General features: G+C 38.1%; 1 protein-coding gene across 8 annotated transcripts in view, besides 1 other annotated feature; it reads right to left on the reverse strand.

Moving 5' to 3' along the window:
* Positions 1 to 11,116: 11,116 nt before the first annotated feature.
* Positions 11,117 to 19,954, reverse strand: part of KATNAL1 (katanin catalytic subunit A1 like 1) — a 104,922-nt gene continuing 96,084 nt past the window's right edge. For all 8 annotated transcript variants that reach the window (NM_032116.5, NM_001014380.3, XM_024449424.2 and 5 more), the window contains 2 exons: positions 18,803 to 18,929; positions 11,117 to 17,225 (listed from right to left, as the gene is read on the reverse strand). In NM_032116.5, coding sequence (NP_115492.1) covers positions 17,027 to 17,225; positions 18,803 to 18,929 — 326 coding nt within the window. In that variant the 3' untranslated portion in view covers positions 11,117 to 17,026. The remainder of the gene's footprint in view (positions 17,226 to 18,802; positions 18,930 to 19,954) is intronic.
* Positions 13,132 to 13,181: a silencer, noted in NCBI's record as "silent region_5227". NCBI's record gives its function as "represses an Ori minimal core promoter by ATAC-STARR-seq in GM12878 lymphoblastoid cells {active_cell/tissue: GM12878}" and the evidence as "EXISTENCE:reporter gene assay evidence [ECO:0000049][PMID:35858748]".

The raw sequence follows: 19,954 nt of genomic DNA on the forward strand, positions 1-19,954 counted from the left end.
AATGAGATGATGCGCAGAGCAAAATCACAGCCATAGCAGAACTGCAGGTGACATATGTATGTGAACAAGAAATACCTTTTTCATTCAAACCACTGGGATCTTGGGGTTATTTGATTAGCTCAGTCTTACTTAGAGGAAGCTGGCTGACTCATCACCCTTCACTGGGCATATGTGATACAAAGAATGACAGGGATGGCTTGACCGACACACACCCTCAGAATGAGAGCTCCTGGCAGCAGAAGCCTTGCCATTTCAAAAGAACCATGGACACCAATGATACACAACTATCCAAATATGTAGTGCCAGCTGCTTCCCACAGGAATTTGGGGCTGGCATGACACAGTTGTCATGGCCATGCCCCTCATTCACCATATCTCCAGTTAGAATTCAATCGGCCAAAGGAGGACTCTGGACTCATCATCTGGAAAACCCAGGCCACTCCTTAATTACTGAATCCTCTAAGTTGCAGACTTTGGTCCTATCCCTGGAGCCAAGTCATGTGACCTTGAATCTCAATTCGGAGAGGTCATCGCCATGGGCCAGACTGTGTTCATATTTCTTGTGGTTGCTGCTCTGAATCAAAACACAAGTCATTTAAAAATTTCTCCCAGAACAAATGAACTCTCTAGCTCAGTCTGAGAAACACTGGAGTCAATAATCTGTAATAGAGGAATCTGAAAGCATTACCTAATCTGGACATAATTTTCCTCACCATTTCACAGGTGGGTACCATATCTACCGGCAACACACATCAACCTGATGCAGCAAATTAGGGCAGGAAAAAGAGATGAATTTTCCAAGTGAAATGCCAGGACAATTTAGGTAAGACGAACATGGTTAGTCTTACCTAAACCTGCCCCTGTTTATCAGTCTTTGTCCAGAGAGCAATGTGCCTGTGACTTTAAGAGAAAAAATCCCAGAGAACTAATTAGATTTACAGTCTGTGAACACAGTCAAAATAAAAAGCTCAAATCTATTTTTTTCTCATACAGCCTGAGGGCAATAGCCAAAAGAAATTACTATTAAGTGTGAGTAATGCAAAACACATTGTGCGAATTTCAATCTGAGATGTGTGAATCTAATATACAACTGCAAATTAGGAAGCACCTTTTGAGTTTCAAAATAGGCTCAGTTCACAAGTGGAACAAATTCTACCTCATAGACAACTTCAAGATGGGCTAAGACCAGATGTGGGCCTGGAAAAATGGAGGGAAATGTAGCACTGAAAAGATATTGTGACCGGCAGCTGTATCATCATCCACGGCAGGTAAATATTAAAGCACTGAGAGGAATGCTTTTGCCAAGTCAGCATGGCTGCAGGACCTGCTGCTGTGGGGCAGCCACCTTCCCTCTTGAGAAAGCAAGCAAAGCAGTTTTATCAGGGACTCAGTAAACAGAAATCAGCCGGGTGCAGTGGCTCACGCCTGCAACCCCAGCACTTTGGGAGGCCAAGGCATGCAGATCACCCGAGGTCAGGAGTTTGAGACCAGCCTGGCCAACGTGGTGAAACCCCATCTCTACAAAAATTAGCCGTGTGTGATGGTGGGTGCCTGTAATCCTAGCTACTCGGGAGGCTGAGGCGGGAGAATCGCTCAAAACAGGGAGGCAGAGGTTGCAGTGAGCTGAGATCGCACCATCGCACTCCAGCCTGGGCAACAGAGTGAGACTCCATCTCAAAACAAAATAAAACAAAACAAAACAAAGCAAAGCAAAAAACAGAAATCAATATAAGGCACCTTCAAGCTACAAAATATGAAAGAAAATTGAATTTTGTATGCATCTTGATCATGTCCACAGACTAGACAATGACTTTGCTCCAGATTACTGCTTAGGAGCTGATTTTGAATCCCAGCTCTGTTGTCATCATGCAGTGAATTCAGTTTTTCCTATCAGTGCTCTTCGGAACTGCTTTGCATACAGGGTCCTAGTGAAGAAAGGAGGTTTTTTTTTTTTTTTTTTTTTTTTGTATGCTAAGGTTCTCATTTCCCATCGGGGATTTGAGCACCTACAACTTGCAAAACCCTGTGGAGGAGGCAACAATGAGAGCGCTCCTCGTCCTCACAGAGCTCTCCATCAACAGCTGTCAAAGAAATCATGCTAAGGGGCAAACGCAACTATACAGTAAATCATCCGGAAGGTGGGGACCATCACCCACCCCTGGGTTAATATTCCCTCCTTAGCCACCTGGCAAACACCTCTGCTTGCTTCAGCACGTGGCTGACCTCACCTCCTCCAGACCATTTCTCAGGTGCATGCTGTTATAACCACACACAGTATCCTATGACTGCTTCATGGCTTTCTCTACCAGGACATGAGTTCCTTGAGGACAGGAGTTGTGTCTCAAATTTGTTGGCATTCAGTAAGTTGGACTGATATATAGGTGTAAATAATAGGCCTATAGAAATACTTGTATGAGATTCAAATTAGAATAGACAAAAATAAGTCCTCGTGAGAGTCTCCAGACTCCCTCCCTGTGTAATCTCCCATGGGCTGCACAGAAACTTTCGTTATGAAAGACCTTGGGAAAGTCCCCGTTATGGAACCTGAGACCCTCGGACATTATATAATGCTTTTTCTTGTGAAAAGCAAATGAGACTAACAAATCATGACTCTAGTCTGCAATTCTTAAGCAAAGTAAACAAAATCTGTGTGATTTTCTCTAGAAGGTATGTTTCATAGCTGCAACAGGAAAGACAATGTGTAATGTTTGTAAATCCCCTATTTGAAGTGCCTCTTTATTGAGAAATTATGCTTTGCTTCTATTGAAAATAGAGACTTTTGATGATTAGTGTGCTAAATGAGGCAAGAGTTCTAATTCAGTGCTACCAGCAACTTCCATTTTTTGGTTCGGGTATTAAAATAGGTGAGAACAGAACCTCTTCTCCTCCTTCCTCTCCCACCTTTGCTGGAAAAGGTGCCAAATAGCTCTCACAAGCCCTCAGCAAAATGCCTCCATGCGCATATGTCTACCACGGCCACTAGGTAAGCCATGCCAATCATGGGGCTCAGAGCCTCCTGGATGATTGATGAACTCCACTTCGGAAAAAGTCTGAAGGCAGTGTGGGTATTGCCTAGATACAGCTCAGACTGTATTTCTCAGGGAATAAAAGGGAAGGGGAATATTTTTGTCCACTACTAGTATCCTAAGACTTCTGTAACACTGCGATAAAAGTATCAGAGTATATAGTCTAGTTCAGGGAAGAGAAGGGCCCCTAATTTTGGCAGACCCCAAAACAGCCATTCACTCTTTGAGTCAAAAATGGCTCACTGAAAGTCAGACTGACCTGTTCACAACGACTGGCAAGCTTAGGAGTATTACCCTCACTGCATCCACTTTTTTCAGAGGGAGCGACAAAGAGCCAGGGTACACACGTGGACCCGCATTACTTGCAGTGGGGAAAAAAACTCCACAAAAATAAAAAGAGCTAACCTGTGATACGCTGGTAAACTAACTCTTCCAGGGGGATAGGGGATAGGTAAAGCCCTGATGTGTAGTGTTTGCCAATTTCCATGTGTGAATCCTCTCACCGCGGCTACAGTTTCAGCTATCAACGGTGGAAAGGCTTGCGACATTCCTTAACATTCCACAGTTGGCTTTGGGACAGCCTGGTATGTACCAGCCCTCGCACATCACTGCAGCTAACATTAAGGGTTTGTATGGTGCCGTGATAAGCACTTTAAATTCAGTATCTCATTTAATCTTCCCAATGGTCCTACAAAGGAAGGTCCTGTTATCATCTCCATTTTGAGGTGAGATAACACAGCCACAGAGAGGATAAGTAACTTGCCCAAAGTCCCACAGCTTAGAAGTGGTACAGCTGAGGCTAGAATTGTTTTCTGACTGCAGACTTGAAGTTCTCACAATACCCAAATACATCTCATGATCCAAAAGAGGCCTGTTTTAAATAGCCAATAAGTATCTAGCCAAATAGCAGGAACAGTGCCTTGGCCACAGGAGGCACAGTCCAAATAAGACCAACTATTTGTGGCTTCTGTCAACCTTCTTCACCCACTCACAGCAGAACACATAAGGATTCCTTTCCCTTGAAAACTCGATCCTCTCCTTCCTTGATTCTTCCTTCCAGTCTGACTCTCAAACCTTAACACTTTCCTGTTAGTGACTAAGAGTCTCTGTTCCTCTCTTGGTCCTCCCTTGAACGATTCCAATACCATGTACTATAACTGAAGAGCCCTATTCCTTTTCCAGGAACAAAGAGAGGTCACCAAGCAGCTGTGTTGCCCTAGGGAGCTGGCAGCTATCTAAATGTCCTATACTAGCACAAGAAGCACAGTGAGCTGGTCCTTCCCCAGGGGATGTTTTTAACATCAGATGGAGAAACTGTTTTTGACACTGGCACAGGGATCACTGCTGACTTTTTAAAAAGGAATGAACAGTGACATATTCATATCATATCTAGAAGTCAGGAATAATTTTAAGACTGAGGAGAAATAAAAACTCAACAGAAATTAAGCGTGTCTTAAATCTTTCAAGAACTATCATGTCTAGACTGATCAAAATCAAGAAAACCACCACTGGGATAGTTAGAATCCCCAGGCATTTGAGGGTTAGGGAGGAAGGCAGAGAGAGGGCAGATGCCCAGGGCCTGACCCTGAGAACCTGATTGGCCAGGTTCAAACGATAAAGAGACTCACAATGGCCTGTCAGGAATAGCATGAAGGATGAGCCCCCAGGTGGCCAGGAAACCAGGCATGGCTGCTGCTGCTCACCAGGCCACTCATCAAATGCGTCACTGAGTAATCCGCACAGAGGAAGCTGGGAGAGGGCCAGGGCTGCAGCCAGTGGCACCCTGCAGTCCAGGAGGAGGTCTGAAATTGCAAGCTGTCCACCATTAACAAGTAATGAAATCAATTTCCTGGGGCAGGTCCAGGAATTTTACAAAATGAAACCAATTAGAAAATGTCAGAATGTATCATATATAATAAAGGCAAAGCTATTGTTTTATTAAATTTTTGCTGTATGCACAGAAACAGGCTCATATACATATTTAGGTTAAATGAAATGCTTACTTCCTCTACTCTACAACTTTATTCTTTTTTTAAAAAAGGGATGAGAAAATAATTACTATATGAAAGAAATCCATGTTACATAAAGAAAAGTGATGTTGGGAAATGTTTTTCCATTGTTACATGATTTTGTTGTCAAAAACACTGAGCCTCTTTTTTAAGAACTCTAATATGTGCAACTTAAAATAATTGTCCTGTTTGTTTTAAAATCTTCCAAATGAAGAGGTGCAATAGGTTCTGAACATTCAACATAAAATGCAACCTTTCAATTAATTTGCAAGAACTGACATCAAGAAAGACGCAAATAGCCAAATAAACACTTCTGCTTAGTGGGCATGATTTTAAAATGAAGCTCATTACTTCAGATTGCAGCCAATAATCTGTTTCTTCCACTTGGATCTACACACCTTTGTGAAGTTACACTTTTAGCTGTAACAGTCATTAAAACTAAGCATTGAAATAAAAATGAAATCATTGTCCCTAAATTGTTATCCTAAGATTTAAAAAAAAATAAAGTATATTTAATGTCATGGCTCTCAATGAAAATATTACTCCTATTTTTTGGAAGGATTTTGTAGCAGTAAGATTACTTTTCAGTGTCTTCACATTATAGTCTTCCATATTTCTACATTTCATGGATTTTTATAAATTATATACAAGCACTACTATAATTTACAAGTATCCTTAAACTACCAACATAGTAACAGTGTGTAACTCACACACACTTTATTGTTAACAAAGCCTGAAGAGCACTGTCCTAGGTGAGAGTGACAGTGACAGTGGTCAACACAATCCTGCCCTATGGGTCAAATGAAATGGGGTCAAGAGCTATGATTGACTCTTACTTAGGCCAAGGGCTTCTGGGAGACAGAAGGGCAGACACTGATTTGATGTCTACAAATATTGCTTTAAAAATTTTTTATAATTTTATATTTCTTTTACAAAGTAAATAATTATCATATGAAAAAATACAAAGTAAAAGGTAAAAGTCTCCCTTAATGCAAGAGGTTTTGCATTTTGATTTAAATAAAGACAATTTTAAGTGCTGGTTTTAAAAAGGAATTACCATGAAAGTTTTTTCCTAAAATACTAAGAATTCATCTATGGCGCGAACTAATGAAATATGTAAGAAATTAGTTTATATTTTGAAAAGTACACAAAAGATGTTTTTATTGTCTAATAATCCCATACTAAACAACTCAGGGAAAAAGTTTCCACTAAAAATAGGAACTGATTATTTCTTGTGATGAACAAATATGTATTTTACACAATTCCCTAATGAGAACCAAGGAAAATGGTGCCTTTCTTTTAACACGAATATTTCTGAATGCGGTTTCTAGCTGCCTTGAACAAACTCCCTTCTTTTGTTGCTACGTTTCTGCAAATCTCTTCCAGATCCACTGCGGTTTATGACATTCTATCCAATTAGTTGTCAACATAGTTCCTTTTACCTTCACTGTGATGACTTTACTTTTGCTAAGAAGATTTCATGCAATCAACCTGTTCAATTAAGGCTATACAAAAAGCTATTCTCAAAAACCTACTGCTAGGCAACAGAAACGTGTTGAACTAAATCTCAGGCGAAAAATATTTCTAAATAGAGATGAGAACAATTGTAGTCACTTCAGAATAATTAATACAAAATACAAAATAAATTTTGTTAAAATTTGTAAGCACAGGTAAACACACACAAACCTTAAATGAGTATTTTCACATGTATGTATATGTGTGACTATGTACTGTATACATATTTGGCATACATGGTAGATCCCCAATAACTAGCTGACTTAGTTTAATATGTTTGCTCAGCCGCCCACCTCTGTCACCTTTGCTATGAATTTGAGAACACAGTATGGAATGTCAGTGTTCTGCGTTTTCAAGAGAGCACAGTTATTGCAAACCCTTTGCAGTTAGTTGCTTTGAAGAGCAACAAATGAGGTGAATTCTTATGGTAAAGGCAGAATAGTTTATTATCCTAAATTCACAACTAGGTTAGATTTTGAAATATGGGCTTTGTATTGCAAACCAAACTAAAACATTTCATCCACATTTATTTATCTTTGGGGAAAAAAGTTTTGATTGGAAAAAGGCTTTTAAGGGCTAACAGAATTCATGAGAAGAGTTCCTCAGGCTTCTTAGAAAGCTAATTCTTCTTAAGAAACAACTTTGATAAGTGTAAATGAATCAGAAACATATGGATTAAATTTCCCCTTAAACAAACACTTTAAAAAGGATTTAAAAATTAAAGGAAATATGTTTAGTAAAGTATATTTGAGAAATGTTACAAAACATATTTCAAAATGTTTGGAAAATAGCTTGAGGTATTTTACAAAACCCAAATGAAGTTCAATTCATCCACATCTAATTACGTAATAATTACTAACACTATAGTTTAGGATTTTTGTTATGGAATACAGTGGTCATACCATGGTTATTTGTTTAAAAAATTATTTAAGATGTAGTAATTGACAGACGTTTTGAATATTCAGACGAGATTAGGTGTGTTCAGATGGTGTGGCCATGGTATTTTGAACATTCAGAATTAACTTTGTTCTGGTGCTTCAAAGTTGAACAATGAGCCCCATCCATGACTTGGTGAAGCCCCTATGACAACTATGCGTCCAGCTAAGGACTCTGAAGCTGTCATCCAGTCAGCAGAGGACTGCTGGAGATCCCAGGAATAAAAGTAACTGTTAGAGCTCAATGTCACCTAAGTTGGTGGCCCAAATATGATTCATGGGAATTCTTAAAATGATTAGTTCATTTCATTAAGCATTGCCCTTAAAAACAATAGGTATATATTTGCACTGTGATAGAGCAAACGGCAGCCATTAGTCTCAAATGCATTTAAATCCCAAAAGAGCCCTCTTTTCTTGCCTTATTAACATAAATTCTGAAACAGAACCTATCACAGTAGTCTACCTAAAAATCTGACAAAAAAGCATTAAGAGAAAGGGAAGGTTAAAAATTGATTCATAACCTCAGAAAAATGGGTGAATGCAACATTTTAAAAACTGAGTGCTTTTTGTGTGTTTTTAACATTGTTGAGAGTAAGCTTAGAATATGGCAAGGGAATGGGTTCTGGAACCAAACTGACCTAGGTTCCTATCCTTCTTCACTTCTTAGGAGCCGTTCAACTAGAGCAAGTCACTCTATAAGCCTCAGTTTTCTCTTCTGAAGAAAAAGAATAAGAATAAATATATCTTTTAGGGCTAATGTATGAATTTAGTAAATAAAAATATCTAGCACAAACATTATGTTAGTTCCAATCCTATGATGTCAACTTATCTTACATTTCTTATTTTTAACCATCATCAGCTCGGGTAATTGTATTGGTATCTGCTAGAGTCTTAAAGGTCCTTAACAAATGTTCTGCCATCTGACTTGCTTTAAGCCTTGTCTGCAGCATTCTTCAAGATCAGAAACAGATATAAGTTCTGCTTCCAGGTCAGAATATGATCTTGAACATATATTTTTAAATTTTCATGGGTTCAACTCTTCACCTGTAAGATGAGGGGACCAAGTCATTTGCTCTTAATTTCAGCTCTCAATGCTGTAGGTTGCTGGTGAGTCTCTCAAAACTTACAGGGAAGGTCTTAAGAAGATATTAGAATGGGTAAAACTAGGAAAGAGTTGCCCATCAAGCTTTTCTGATTGTAAAAAGGATAAGAAGTAACCACCAAGCACATGTGCTCTCTCCCCTGATCCCTTTCTGCCCTGTTCTGGGTGTAGCAGGAGCCAGAGGAATGCCCAGGTGAAGCCCCACGTCTGCCTGGCCAGGTGCAGTTGAAGTGGTGACATCCAGCCAGGGAGGGGGAGGAGCACCTGAGTACCAGCCTCCAGCCTTGGGGCATCAGTTGTTGGAACCAGCCAGGTGAGACCTGAGCCCACCCTGCCTTTCTGCTTATCATTAGAAAGGTAGCAGCTGATGCTGGGAAGAGACGGAGCCAGGCAATGCTTCCATCTTCCCTCACGATTTCTAGTTAAATTCCTGGCATCTCTGGGCAAACACTCCAACACTGTGCCATGCTCTGCCATGGGAGCCAGGTCAGTCACAGGTGGCACTGGTCATATGCACTGGAGAAAGGACTGCAGGGAGAGTGGGAGGGCTCTAGCCACAAATGTCTCCTGTCTTTGTCCCACTTAACCTAATTCTTTTTCTTTATACCCCCCAAGAGACCGAAACCTCACTTAAAGCCACAGGAAGAAAATTACGGCTGGGGCCATGGCATTAAATTGTTGCTAGGTCCCTTCCAGTTATAAATATTACACAACTGCATGGCAGCATAATTATGCAAAAATATCTACTTCACACTTGGTCCACCAGGAGCACTTCTGGGATCCAAAGATAGAGGTAAAAAGGCCGCGGATAGCCCAGAGAAACGACACACAGCACTAGAGCCCAAAGAATAGACCTCCCTACCACTCCTCATCCCTAAACTGCAGTACTCATTTACACATGATGCTAACAAGCCTAACAACTATTTCTCTAGGTTCACTGAAGACTAGAAATAGGACACTGAAGAGGAAGAAAGGCTGATAAGAGACCAGTGGAAATGTTATAAAAGCAAACATCAAAATTCAAAGACCAGTCAGTGAGAGAGCTTTAAAGAAAAAAAAAAGCTGTGCTACCCCTCCACTAACTGCAGAGAGTGGCATAAAACAAGGGACTGACTGACCTCATAACAACTCTGAATCCTAAAGAAAAGGGTAAGTTCCAATTCTTCAGTTTACAAACTCAAGGAACAAATGTGATATGCTTTAGCAAAGTTTCAAATTGATAAGCATGTGAAAAAATGTTCCACATCATCTGGAAACTGCAATGGAAACAATGAGGTACCGTTACACACCTATCAGTGAACCTAGTGAAACAGCTGTTAGGCTTGTTAGCCTCATTATTGCTATTAGAATGGCAAAACCCAAACTACCGACACTACCACATGCTGATGAGGATGTGGAGCAACAGAAACCTTTATCCATTGCAAGTGGGAATATGTAACGGTACAGCCACTTTGGAAGATAGTCTGGTAGCTTCTTATAAAACTATACATACTCTTACCATACGTTCTGGCAATCACATTCGTATTTACTCAAGTTGAAAACTTATGCACTTGCAAAAACCTGCACATGAATGTTTATAGCAGTTTTACTCATAATCGCTAAAACTTGGATGCAAACAAGATGTCCTTGAGTAGGTGAATGGATAAACAAATTGTGGTACATCCAGACAATGGAGTGTTATTCAGTGCTAAAAAGAAATGAGCTATCGTGCTACAGGAAGACATGGAAACTTAAATGCATACTGCTAAGTAAAAGAAGCCTGTCTGAAACAGCTACATACGATTCCAACTATATGACATTCTGGAAAAGACAAAACTAGAGAGTCACTAAAAGGCTCAGTGGTTGCCAGGAATTGGGAGGCGAGGGAAAAATGAATAGGTGGAACACAGGGAATTTTTAAGCAGTGAAACGATTTTGTCTGCTGTTGTAAAGATGGATACATGACATTATGCTTTTGTCAAAACCCATAAAAGTGTATAACACAAAGTGAACCCTAATGTCAACTACTGTCAATTACTGAATAATAATGCATCAACATCAGTTGATCAATTATAACAAATATACCACACTAATGTAAGATGTTAGTAAGAGGAGAAACTGGGGCGGGGGTTGTAAGTAAATGGGAGCTCCAAATTTTCTGCTCAATTTTTCTGTAAACATAAAACTGCTCTAAAAAAAATAAAGTCTATTAACTAAAAAAATTGTTTGGAGGAGGTCATAAAGTAAGACTTAGTCATCTAGAAAATGCACCATATGGAACATCTACTTTGCAATGGTGCTACACAAATAAGACAAGTGTATTGATTATGCCAGTTGGAATTAACTGAAAAAACACACATCTTACCTGCATCAACCTTGAAATTATTGGCATAAGCACAGCAAATACAAAATGTCAGGTTTATAATATGTGATTTTATGAGAACAAAAATCTGGGGAAAGCCATCCCTTACTAGTGAGGGGTTTGTTGCTCCCACTGGTGGCAAGAAGTGCACCCGTGACTATAGGTCAAAATGAACCACAAAGAAAGCGATGACAACCAACACTCTATAAATTTATTACCAAATATAACCTATGCACAAACACAGCTAAGCTAATGAGATTAGCAAAGTAGCAGCACAAAAGGTAAGGAAAAACACATTTAATAAATACAACTTGGAAACGTCTTTTTCTTTAAATTAGGTTCAAATACTGGGAGACAAACACTGAAACAAAAGTCTTAACAACGCACTTACAAGCCATCATAACATGCAGTGATCCTGCGAGACACTGTGTCCACTCACAGCCATGTTAACTGGGGGCCACTCCCTGCTGCCGTACCATCATATGAATATACATTTGTCAGTAAAAATGTGACAAAAATGTGATGTTTTTCCAGGTTTGTGTGTTTTCATAAAGTTACTCAGGTTTTTAGAGAATGAACATAGGAACATGTAGGATCCACAATTTTTAATGTCATCAGGTTAGTTTGTATTTACAAAACTCTAAGAAAATAGATGTGTGTTATGTTTGGAACTGCTGCTTTGAATGCAATACATCCAAATAATGAAGCTGACCATAACAAAGACGGGAAAAGTAATTCAGACATTTCACAGAGGCCTTATTTGGAATACAAACACTTTGCTAGAGAAAGAAAGATGGAATATTTTAAACAATTTCAAGATTAAAAAGAAAAGTTAATGGGAGGAGGGCAACAGCAGGAGGGAAGGATGTGCTTAAAAGAAACAAATCTGCATAGATGATGAACTGAATTTAATTCAATTCATTCCTGCCTAAAACTAAGCCTGGTTAACTGAGGTAGACTCTGGGAATTACACGTGCAAAGAGTCAGGTTTTCCAAAGGGCGATATTTTGTCATTTCAGATATGGTAAAGTAAAAGTGCATTTTATAGTTTCGAACAATCAAATGGGAGTCCTTTTATAAGAGGGAAACTTCTCTATACAAATTCCCTATTTTTTTGTGTCAAATTTCCATATGTACAAAAACCTACACACTGTTGGTAATAAAGCAATATCTAGGGTTTTTTTCATTTATTTTCTCAGAAAATGAGAAAGGTAAAATAAATTTTATGACATTACCTAAATATTTTTCCTGTTTTTATTAATAAGTCACTGGGAATTTAGAAATATCATTAAAGCTAAACAGTTGTCTGGAGCCAAAAAACCTAATAAAAATTCAAAGATCTATTTGTTAATGAGGTGAATGTTTAAAAATATATCTATTATCCTAATAATTTGATTATTAAAATACACAATTTCCACATTAAGAAACAAATATTAAAAGCAAATGTCAAAAAAATTTAAGTATGAAAAGCCTAATTTAAAAGTATAAATAAGTAAACTTACAATAATTACAACAGAGTTTTTAGCTTTTTCTGTAAAAATAGTTAGTGGAGATGACAGTAAAACATTCGAGGCTTAAATATTTTTACCCCCCTAACATGTCCCCTAAGTATAATTTCTGCTTTTTCCTATTGTGACATATTCTCAGGTTCACACAAATATTACGTGCATCACAAATTAAGTGGTTTCTTTAAAATATACAATCAAAACAGTTACGGAAAAAAAGATACAAAAAAGAGAATAGTTAGGATTTTTTCCTCATACAAGTTAAGGTGGCCTTTTCTTGGAAAAGGCCAGCATTCACCCTTAACATTTTATGCCTGTCATACAGAATATACCCTAAACTGATTTATCACTAATAAAAGTTATCTTAAGAGTGGGAATCCACTATTAGGCAAAGAAAGACTCAATAACCTAGACAATACTGAAGGAACCGAAGTCCACTCACACAACATGAAATACTTGCCTAGTCCTTCATTTTATCTCAAGTTAGGGTGGGGGGAAAGTGAATCACAGCTACCTCAGCTGGTTAGTGTTTTATGATTCTCATCACACATTTAGCAGTGTATATAAAAACTTATTCCTAAGGAAGGAATTCAAATGAACTCAAGCTGTCCAAAACCTAGAGTACTAATAATTTCATGTTCAACAGAGTCAGGCTATACAAAACAAAGTCAAAGAATGACAATCATACTGTAAATTTGGGTTGTACACACACATTTTCCCCTGATGTATGTGTATGACTGTCCATAGATTCACCAGGTATTGGTTTGCTTACTTTTTGAGTAATTCGTGCTTTCAGCCTATGTTTTGAGAGTGAAATATGACATCACAATCTCAGAAGCTGAAATTAAGCCCTGAGCTATACAGCTAGACCACCGCATGTTTTCCCCTTCCAAAATGGCTAGGTATTGTGGGAGGTAGTGGTCAGACCCGAAAGTGTGTAGATAAAGTCTGTGATGCCACCATCTATTGTCTACTTGGATCACTAGAAGGTTGCAGCTTCCATTAAAGAGGTGTTTATTTTACTAATATTAATTTCCTTTAAAAAAAGAAATTATGGGGGCAAAAGGTTTATAGTAAACATGTCATGCTTATAATAAACAGGCAGCTTGGGAAATGGTAAAAATTGTTCATTAAAATAGATCCATAATAGTTACACATTATTCAAATAAATGTATATCAGTTCTAATTTCAAAACAGATTTAAAGTGCAAAAAATAGGGGAAAAAAACTTTTATATATTTTTCCAAAGCACAAACAGATTACTATGCCTCTCCATCAGTGATCTAAACTCTTGTTTCAGTAGTAGAAGCCAGAAGCTATACAGAGTCGTTAGAGAAACTGCCAAGTTTGAACTGTACTCTCTAGTCCAGCTTTGTCTTGGTCCACAGAGCTCCTACTCACTGTGTCTTGGACCAACCAATACACGTCTACAGAATGAAGGGACTATCTGATCAGATATCTGCAAAGCAGACTTAGCTTAGTCCTACAGTCATTGTGCTGCAGAACTCAAAATACTCATGTTTTCAGAGGAATTAAAGGAGCCAAATATTTTTCCTTTGATAATGCATCTGCTACCGCAACACTGAATAACAAAACAAAACGAAGCAAAACAATTCAATCTCATTCTGGGTAAGGCAACACACTGTCTTCTGCAATAAAGACAGTCAGAGTGTGTGTGTGTGTGTGTATGTGAGTGTGAGTGTGTGTGTGATGTACATTAAAAGTTAGGGCTGGGCACAGTGGCTCACGCCTGTAATCCAAGCACTCATTCTGGTAAGGCAACACACTGTCTTCTGCAATAAAGACTGTGTGTGTGTGTGTGTGTGTGTGTGTGTGTGTGTGTGTCTCACGCCTATAAGGCAACACACTGTCTTCTGCAATAAAGACTCTGTGTGTGTGTATGTGTGTGTATGTGTGTCTGTCTCACGCCTGTAATCCTAGCACTCATTCTGGGTAAGGCAACACACTGTCTTCTGAAATAGTGTGTGTGTGTGTGTGTGTGTGTGTGTGTGTGTGTGTGTGTGTGTGTGTGTGTGTGTTGTATATTAAAAGTTAGGGCCAGGTGCGGTGGATCACACCTGTAATCCCAGCACTTTGGGAGGCCAATGTGGGCGGATCATCTGAGGTCAGGAGTTCGAGACTAGCCTGGCCAACATGGTGAAACTCTGCCTCTACTAAAAATACAAAAAAATAAGCCGGGTGTGGCGGCAACTGTAATCCCAGCTACTCAGGAGGCCGAGGCAGGAGAATGGCTTGAACCTGGGAGGCAGAAGTTGCAGTGAGCCGAGATCATGCCACTGCACTCCAGCCTGGGCGACAGAGCAAGACTCAGTCTCAAAATAAATAAATAAATAAAATAAAATAAAATAAAAGTTAAATAGAACACCTGAGGGATGTCTTTAAGATCCTTTAAGGGATTTAAGATATACAAAGCATCTACCATCCACTGACAGGGCAAAATGAGAAACAAGGGAAATAAAAAGCACACCTGACTCACTTAACATAGTAAAGTTAGGCTCCCAGGAAGTTTAAGTTGCCAAATACTGCTTAACTGGTATTAAAAGAATCACAATTACTATGTCATTATCCATGAAGAATTCAGAAAAATAATTAAATGCACACCAAGATAATCAATACAAAACCCAGAAAAGGTCTAACTAATCAACTATTGTTAGGCTGGTGCAAAAGTAATTGCGGTTTTTGCCATTGAAAGTAATGGAAAAACCACAATTACTTTTGCACCAACCCATTACAAACAAGTTTTAACAATCACAAGACTAATGTTTTAGTGACGGCTCCTAAAACTTCAGGGAAAAAAAAAGTGCATTTCTGACTGGCAATAGTTTGCAAAATAATCGTAATGAAACTACTTATTTCTTTATTTTAAAAGTTAATAAAAGGAAACCTCTCAATTTTTAGGAAGAATTCAATTACAATAAAATCATGATGTCTTATGATCTGGCATCTTATAATCTGTGTCTCAGAAAGAAGGGCAATTTACAGCATCAGATGAATACTGGAGTTTAGGTCAGACTTAAGTTATCTGAAAAGAACATAAGGCATTTACAGTTTTTAGCAGGGAAAAATAATCAAATCTCTTTTTTTAAAAAAAACCTTCTTAGTATCTTGGTTAAATGTCCAAAAAGCTGTATTATTTTTAGTTTTAAACCAGTAGGCACTATTCGAAACTGAGAATTCAGGATGTTATCAAATACAAATTTTTAAAAGCTTGACCATTAAAGCATAAATTGCCTAATGAGACACATGTAATCATAAAAACTAACGCCAGGATCATTTACTTGTGATTGGATATATGCCATTTATTTTTCTGGCTTCTTTCTAATGTGTAATTCCTGCTGAATTGAGTGAGCATGTCAGATTTCTATCTTTATCTTAGTGTGTGTAAAAGTTCTCAACCTAGACAAGGACAAATTTTAGAATTTTCCAATGAACATCATTCACTATGTATGATGCTGTTTTGTTAAACTAGCTGTTTGGAAAACAATAAAGATTTCATTTGTTTTGCGTTAGCCACAGAGAGTGGACTTGTTTAGAATGTAAAAGTATTTATCTCAAATACTAAAATCAAACTCAAGAAAAATCAAACAATGCTGGAGCTGAGAAAAATAATGGCTATATATCTGGTTGAACATGTTGAAAGAAAAGTGAAAACACAGCCAGGCATGGTGGTGCGCACCTGTAATCCCAGCTACTTGGGAGGCTGAGACAGGAGAATTGCTTGAATCTAGGAGGCAGAGGTTGCAGTGAGCCAAGATCAACCACTGCACTACACAGCCTGGGTGACACAGACTCCTTCACGCACACACAAAAAAGTGAAAACAAACTTGGAAGTCTAGAATGAAGAATTACATCTAATGCAGTAATATTCTTCCCACCTTTCCATATTAAATGTAAGAAGCACCAGCAAAAAATACTAAAGACAGAGAAATGACCTGGCAAAATGATTCAAATACCACAGAGCGTGAGAATATTCCTCAGTAAAGCTCAAGATATTATGAAGTAGCTAGCAGAAGAAATGGCAGGGGTAGCGGAAGTAAAAATTCTAACCATATGACAGACTCTAACAGTAAGTCATAAATTCTAAAGGTTTAATTAGTAAATTCATTATTTCCTCCAAAATATACTGTCATTCTTCTCTTAACAATGAATGTTTGACACAAATCCAATTTTGATGTTAAAAGTCAACATACATAGATAGGTCCCTCATGTTGACAGAGCACAGAATTGGAAAAAAAAACTGCAAATGAGAAATAGGGGTATTTCTAAATCTTCTGTATTCCTAAAATATCACACTGCGCCCTTGCTTCAGCCTCCCTGATAGACTGGTTTGGGTGTGCAATATTAATGCAGGAATACGTGGAATACCAGCACAAAGCCGGGGAGGGAGACTAGCAAACTCTCGCCATCAATTATTTCTCAACTACATTTAGTATTCTTCGCAGTTTTAGATTTTTTTTTCCTTTAAGCGAAAACCACTCCACTGAAAAAAATTCCAAACTTGTTTTTTAAAAATTGCAGGAATTTCTTCGTATTTTATCAACAAAAATACCAGAAATTAAAGAGCTGACAGAAATTCAAGCAGATCCAAATTCAACCATCCATTTTTCATACTTCTCCAAGTCTGCAGCAGAGACAGACTTAGCAATTTTCTTTAGGGCCAATTCAAAGTCTCCTTTGGTAACAGGCATCTGAAGTTCCTCTTTAGAAAGTGCACGGATTTCTTCTGGACTTAAGCCATTGATACGCCGTCTCATTGCCATTAAAGAGGCATCCCTAAAAATATACCAAAATCAGTCAACAGTAATTTTTGCACATGTTTTAAACACTTTCAATTGTAACAAAGTTATGAAAAAAAAATCAAAAGATTATTTTATATGTTTTTATGAGGCTTCTTAGAATTTTCCACTTAAGAAACATCCTGGGGGTTCAGCAGAAGTTAAGACAGGATGCAAACAACCAAAAACATGAAATGTATAGTTAACGAACCCTAAAAGTCTAAGTTAAGCTCGAATAGTACTGAATTTTCTTTTCTCCACTTGCTCCTCAAAGACAGCCAAGAAGTTTAGGAAACTGAAGTCAAATTTTGAAATACTGAATTGTACACTTGGAAATGAACATATGGCTAATGTTAAGATAATTCAAACCACAGACCAGTTTGTCTACAGCCTAAATAGAGGAATAAAGACACGAATCACTCCCTCTGAAACATGAATATCCACATATAGTGGACATGGAATTCCCTACATGGAGTATTTGTAGGCAACTGAAGGCATAAACTCTGGCTTCTCTTGATCCCATGTGCAGCTCTCTTTGACCAACTATAAATAAATATGAAGGTCTGGAAGAAAAGGATAATTCATAATCACAAAAAAGCTATTAGGAAGGCCAAGCCAACAAAAATGTCAAGTTCTTAAATATTTTGCTATAGTAGCAGTAGGAACTATTGCAACCTTATTGTATGCCACTAAACTTGGATGCACATGGGAAAAATGCGAGCAGAAAAGGTGAGAAAAACAGATGCTGTGGCTTTAAAGAAAGGCTACTAAAGTCAATTTAAGTGCAGTTAGAAAAATAAGAAAAAAAATAACTGCAGTGACAGGAACTGTCTAAAACTTATGATGTCGCTAAACTGAAAAAATTTTAAACGTGTATCTTCCCCAGCTTACGCTGATCATTTTTGCTCATTTGCATGTGTTTAAATAATGCCAACAAAAACTAAATAATATTACTTTAGGTTGATGCAGAAAGGCTCCAACACAAAGCTAAACTAATCTTAGGTTGTCAAAGTCATTATTATCGAGTTAGACACAATAATTTCTTTTTTTTTCTTTTTTGAGACAGAGTCTCGCTCTGTTGCCCAGGTTGGAGTGCAGTGGCGCGATCTCGGCTCACTGCAAGCTCCACCTCCCGGGTTCATGCCATTCTCCTGCCTCAGCCTCCCGAGTAGCTGGAACTACAGGTGTCCGCCACCACACCTGGCTAATTTTTTGTATTTTTTAGTAGAGGCGGGGTTTCACCGTGTTAGCCAGGATGGTCTCGATCTCCTGACCTCGTGATCCACCCGCCTCGGCCTCCCAAAGTGCTGGGATTAGAGGCGTAAGCCACCGACACAACAATTTCTTAAAAATCCAAAGATCAAAAACATCAACGACCACTGCTATATAATTTTCATCTCACAATGAAAAATAAAGTTATATGTAAAAAAAAAGGGACAAATGGGAAACCATTTTAAAGAAATGGGTAGCTGCTTTCATGTCTAACTACACTGGGCTAACTACATTGACTTTAAGACCAGTCCTCCTGCGAAGTCTATAACTAATGTCTAAAATCACAGATCATTAAAAAAATACCTGCAAACATTAGTGATGTCAGCACCAGAATAGCCCTCAATCTTCTCGGCTATATCTTCCAGTTGAATATCAGGATCTAATTCGACCTCACGAAGGTTGATCTTCAGAAGCTCAGCTCTTCCTTTTGCTGTTACAAGATTTTGGTGGTGTTGTTAGATGTTTTACTTTACAAATAATTTTGCTGAGAAATGACATATTAACATTTGGGGGAAAAATGAGGCCAATGCAAAGAAGAGTCAATAACTGTGTGTCCATTAGTATTATTACCAATTCACTGCATGACTCATGGAATCATTTAAATTCCTATGTGCCTCTGTTGCAGTAACTAAAAATTGAAAAAAAAAAAAAAAAAAAACACCAAAAACCACCTAGGTTTTCTTTAAAGACTGTGAAGATACCTACTATGAGAACAAAGAATCTGAGATTCTTCATGAAAAATATAAATATCAGTTTTCAAGCACCGGAAATGCTTCTCAAAAAAAAAATACTTAGCCTGGTGTTACAAAATTACACTGCATCAAGTGTAACTCCTATGAATTACTTTGCTCACCTGTTAGTATGACATGGATCTCCAGAACTCTTATCAGTAGTTTAAAGAACATTTCCTGAAAATCAGTAATTGGCACAAAAAGCTCATTAATGTATTTTTTACTTGGAGAGCCAGCCCACAGACATTTGCTGTTCCAGTATGATTTAAATGTGAACTGAATAAGTTCAAACATACTAGAGAATTTTTAAAATAACCAATCATGCTTGCCATTTCACTAGTGCTTTTAGTGGCAAATCTGCTTAGCACAGCACACTAAGATAATGCATTACTAGTTTATCTGGCGCTCTACTATTTCCTGAGATACAAAATGAAATTTAATTTTCTTCTACTTTTATTTTGAAAAATGCCATATATACAGGAAAAGAAAATCAATGAATACCCATTTCCCTTTCACTGAGATTCACCAATTGCTAACATTTTGCCATTATCACTCTAGCTGGCTCGTCATCTCTCCTCCCTCAACTTTTTGAATTGAGCGCTAGCTGCAGGCATCACAACACTTCACCTTAAATTCCCCAGCATGTATCTCCTAAGAAAAAAGGTAGACATAGCATTTCTCACCCTTATCAGGAGATTTAATACTGGAATATTAGTGTCTAATA

This window comes from Homo sapiens, chromosome 13, assembly GCF_000001405.40.
Source record: "Homo sapiens chromosome 13, GRCh38.p14 Primary Assembly".
Taxonomy (NCBI): domain Eukaryota; kingdom Metazoa; phylum Chordata; class Mammalia; order Primates; family Hominidae; genus Homo; species Homo sapiens.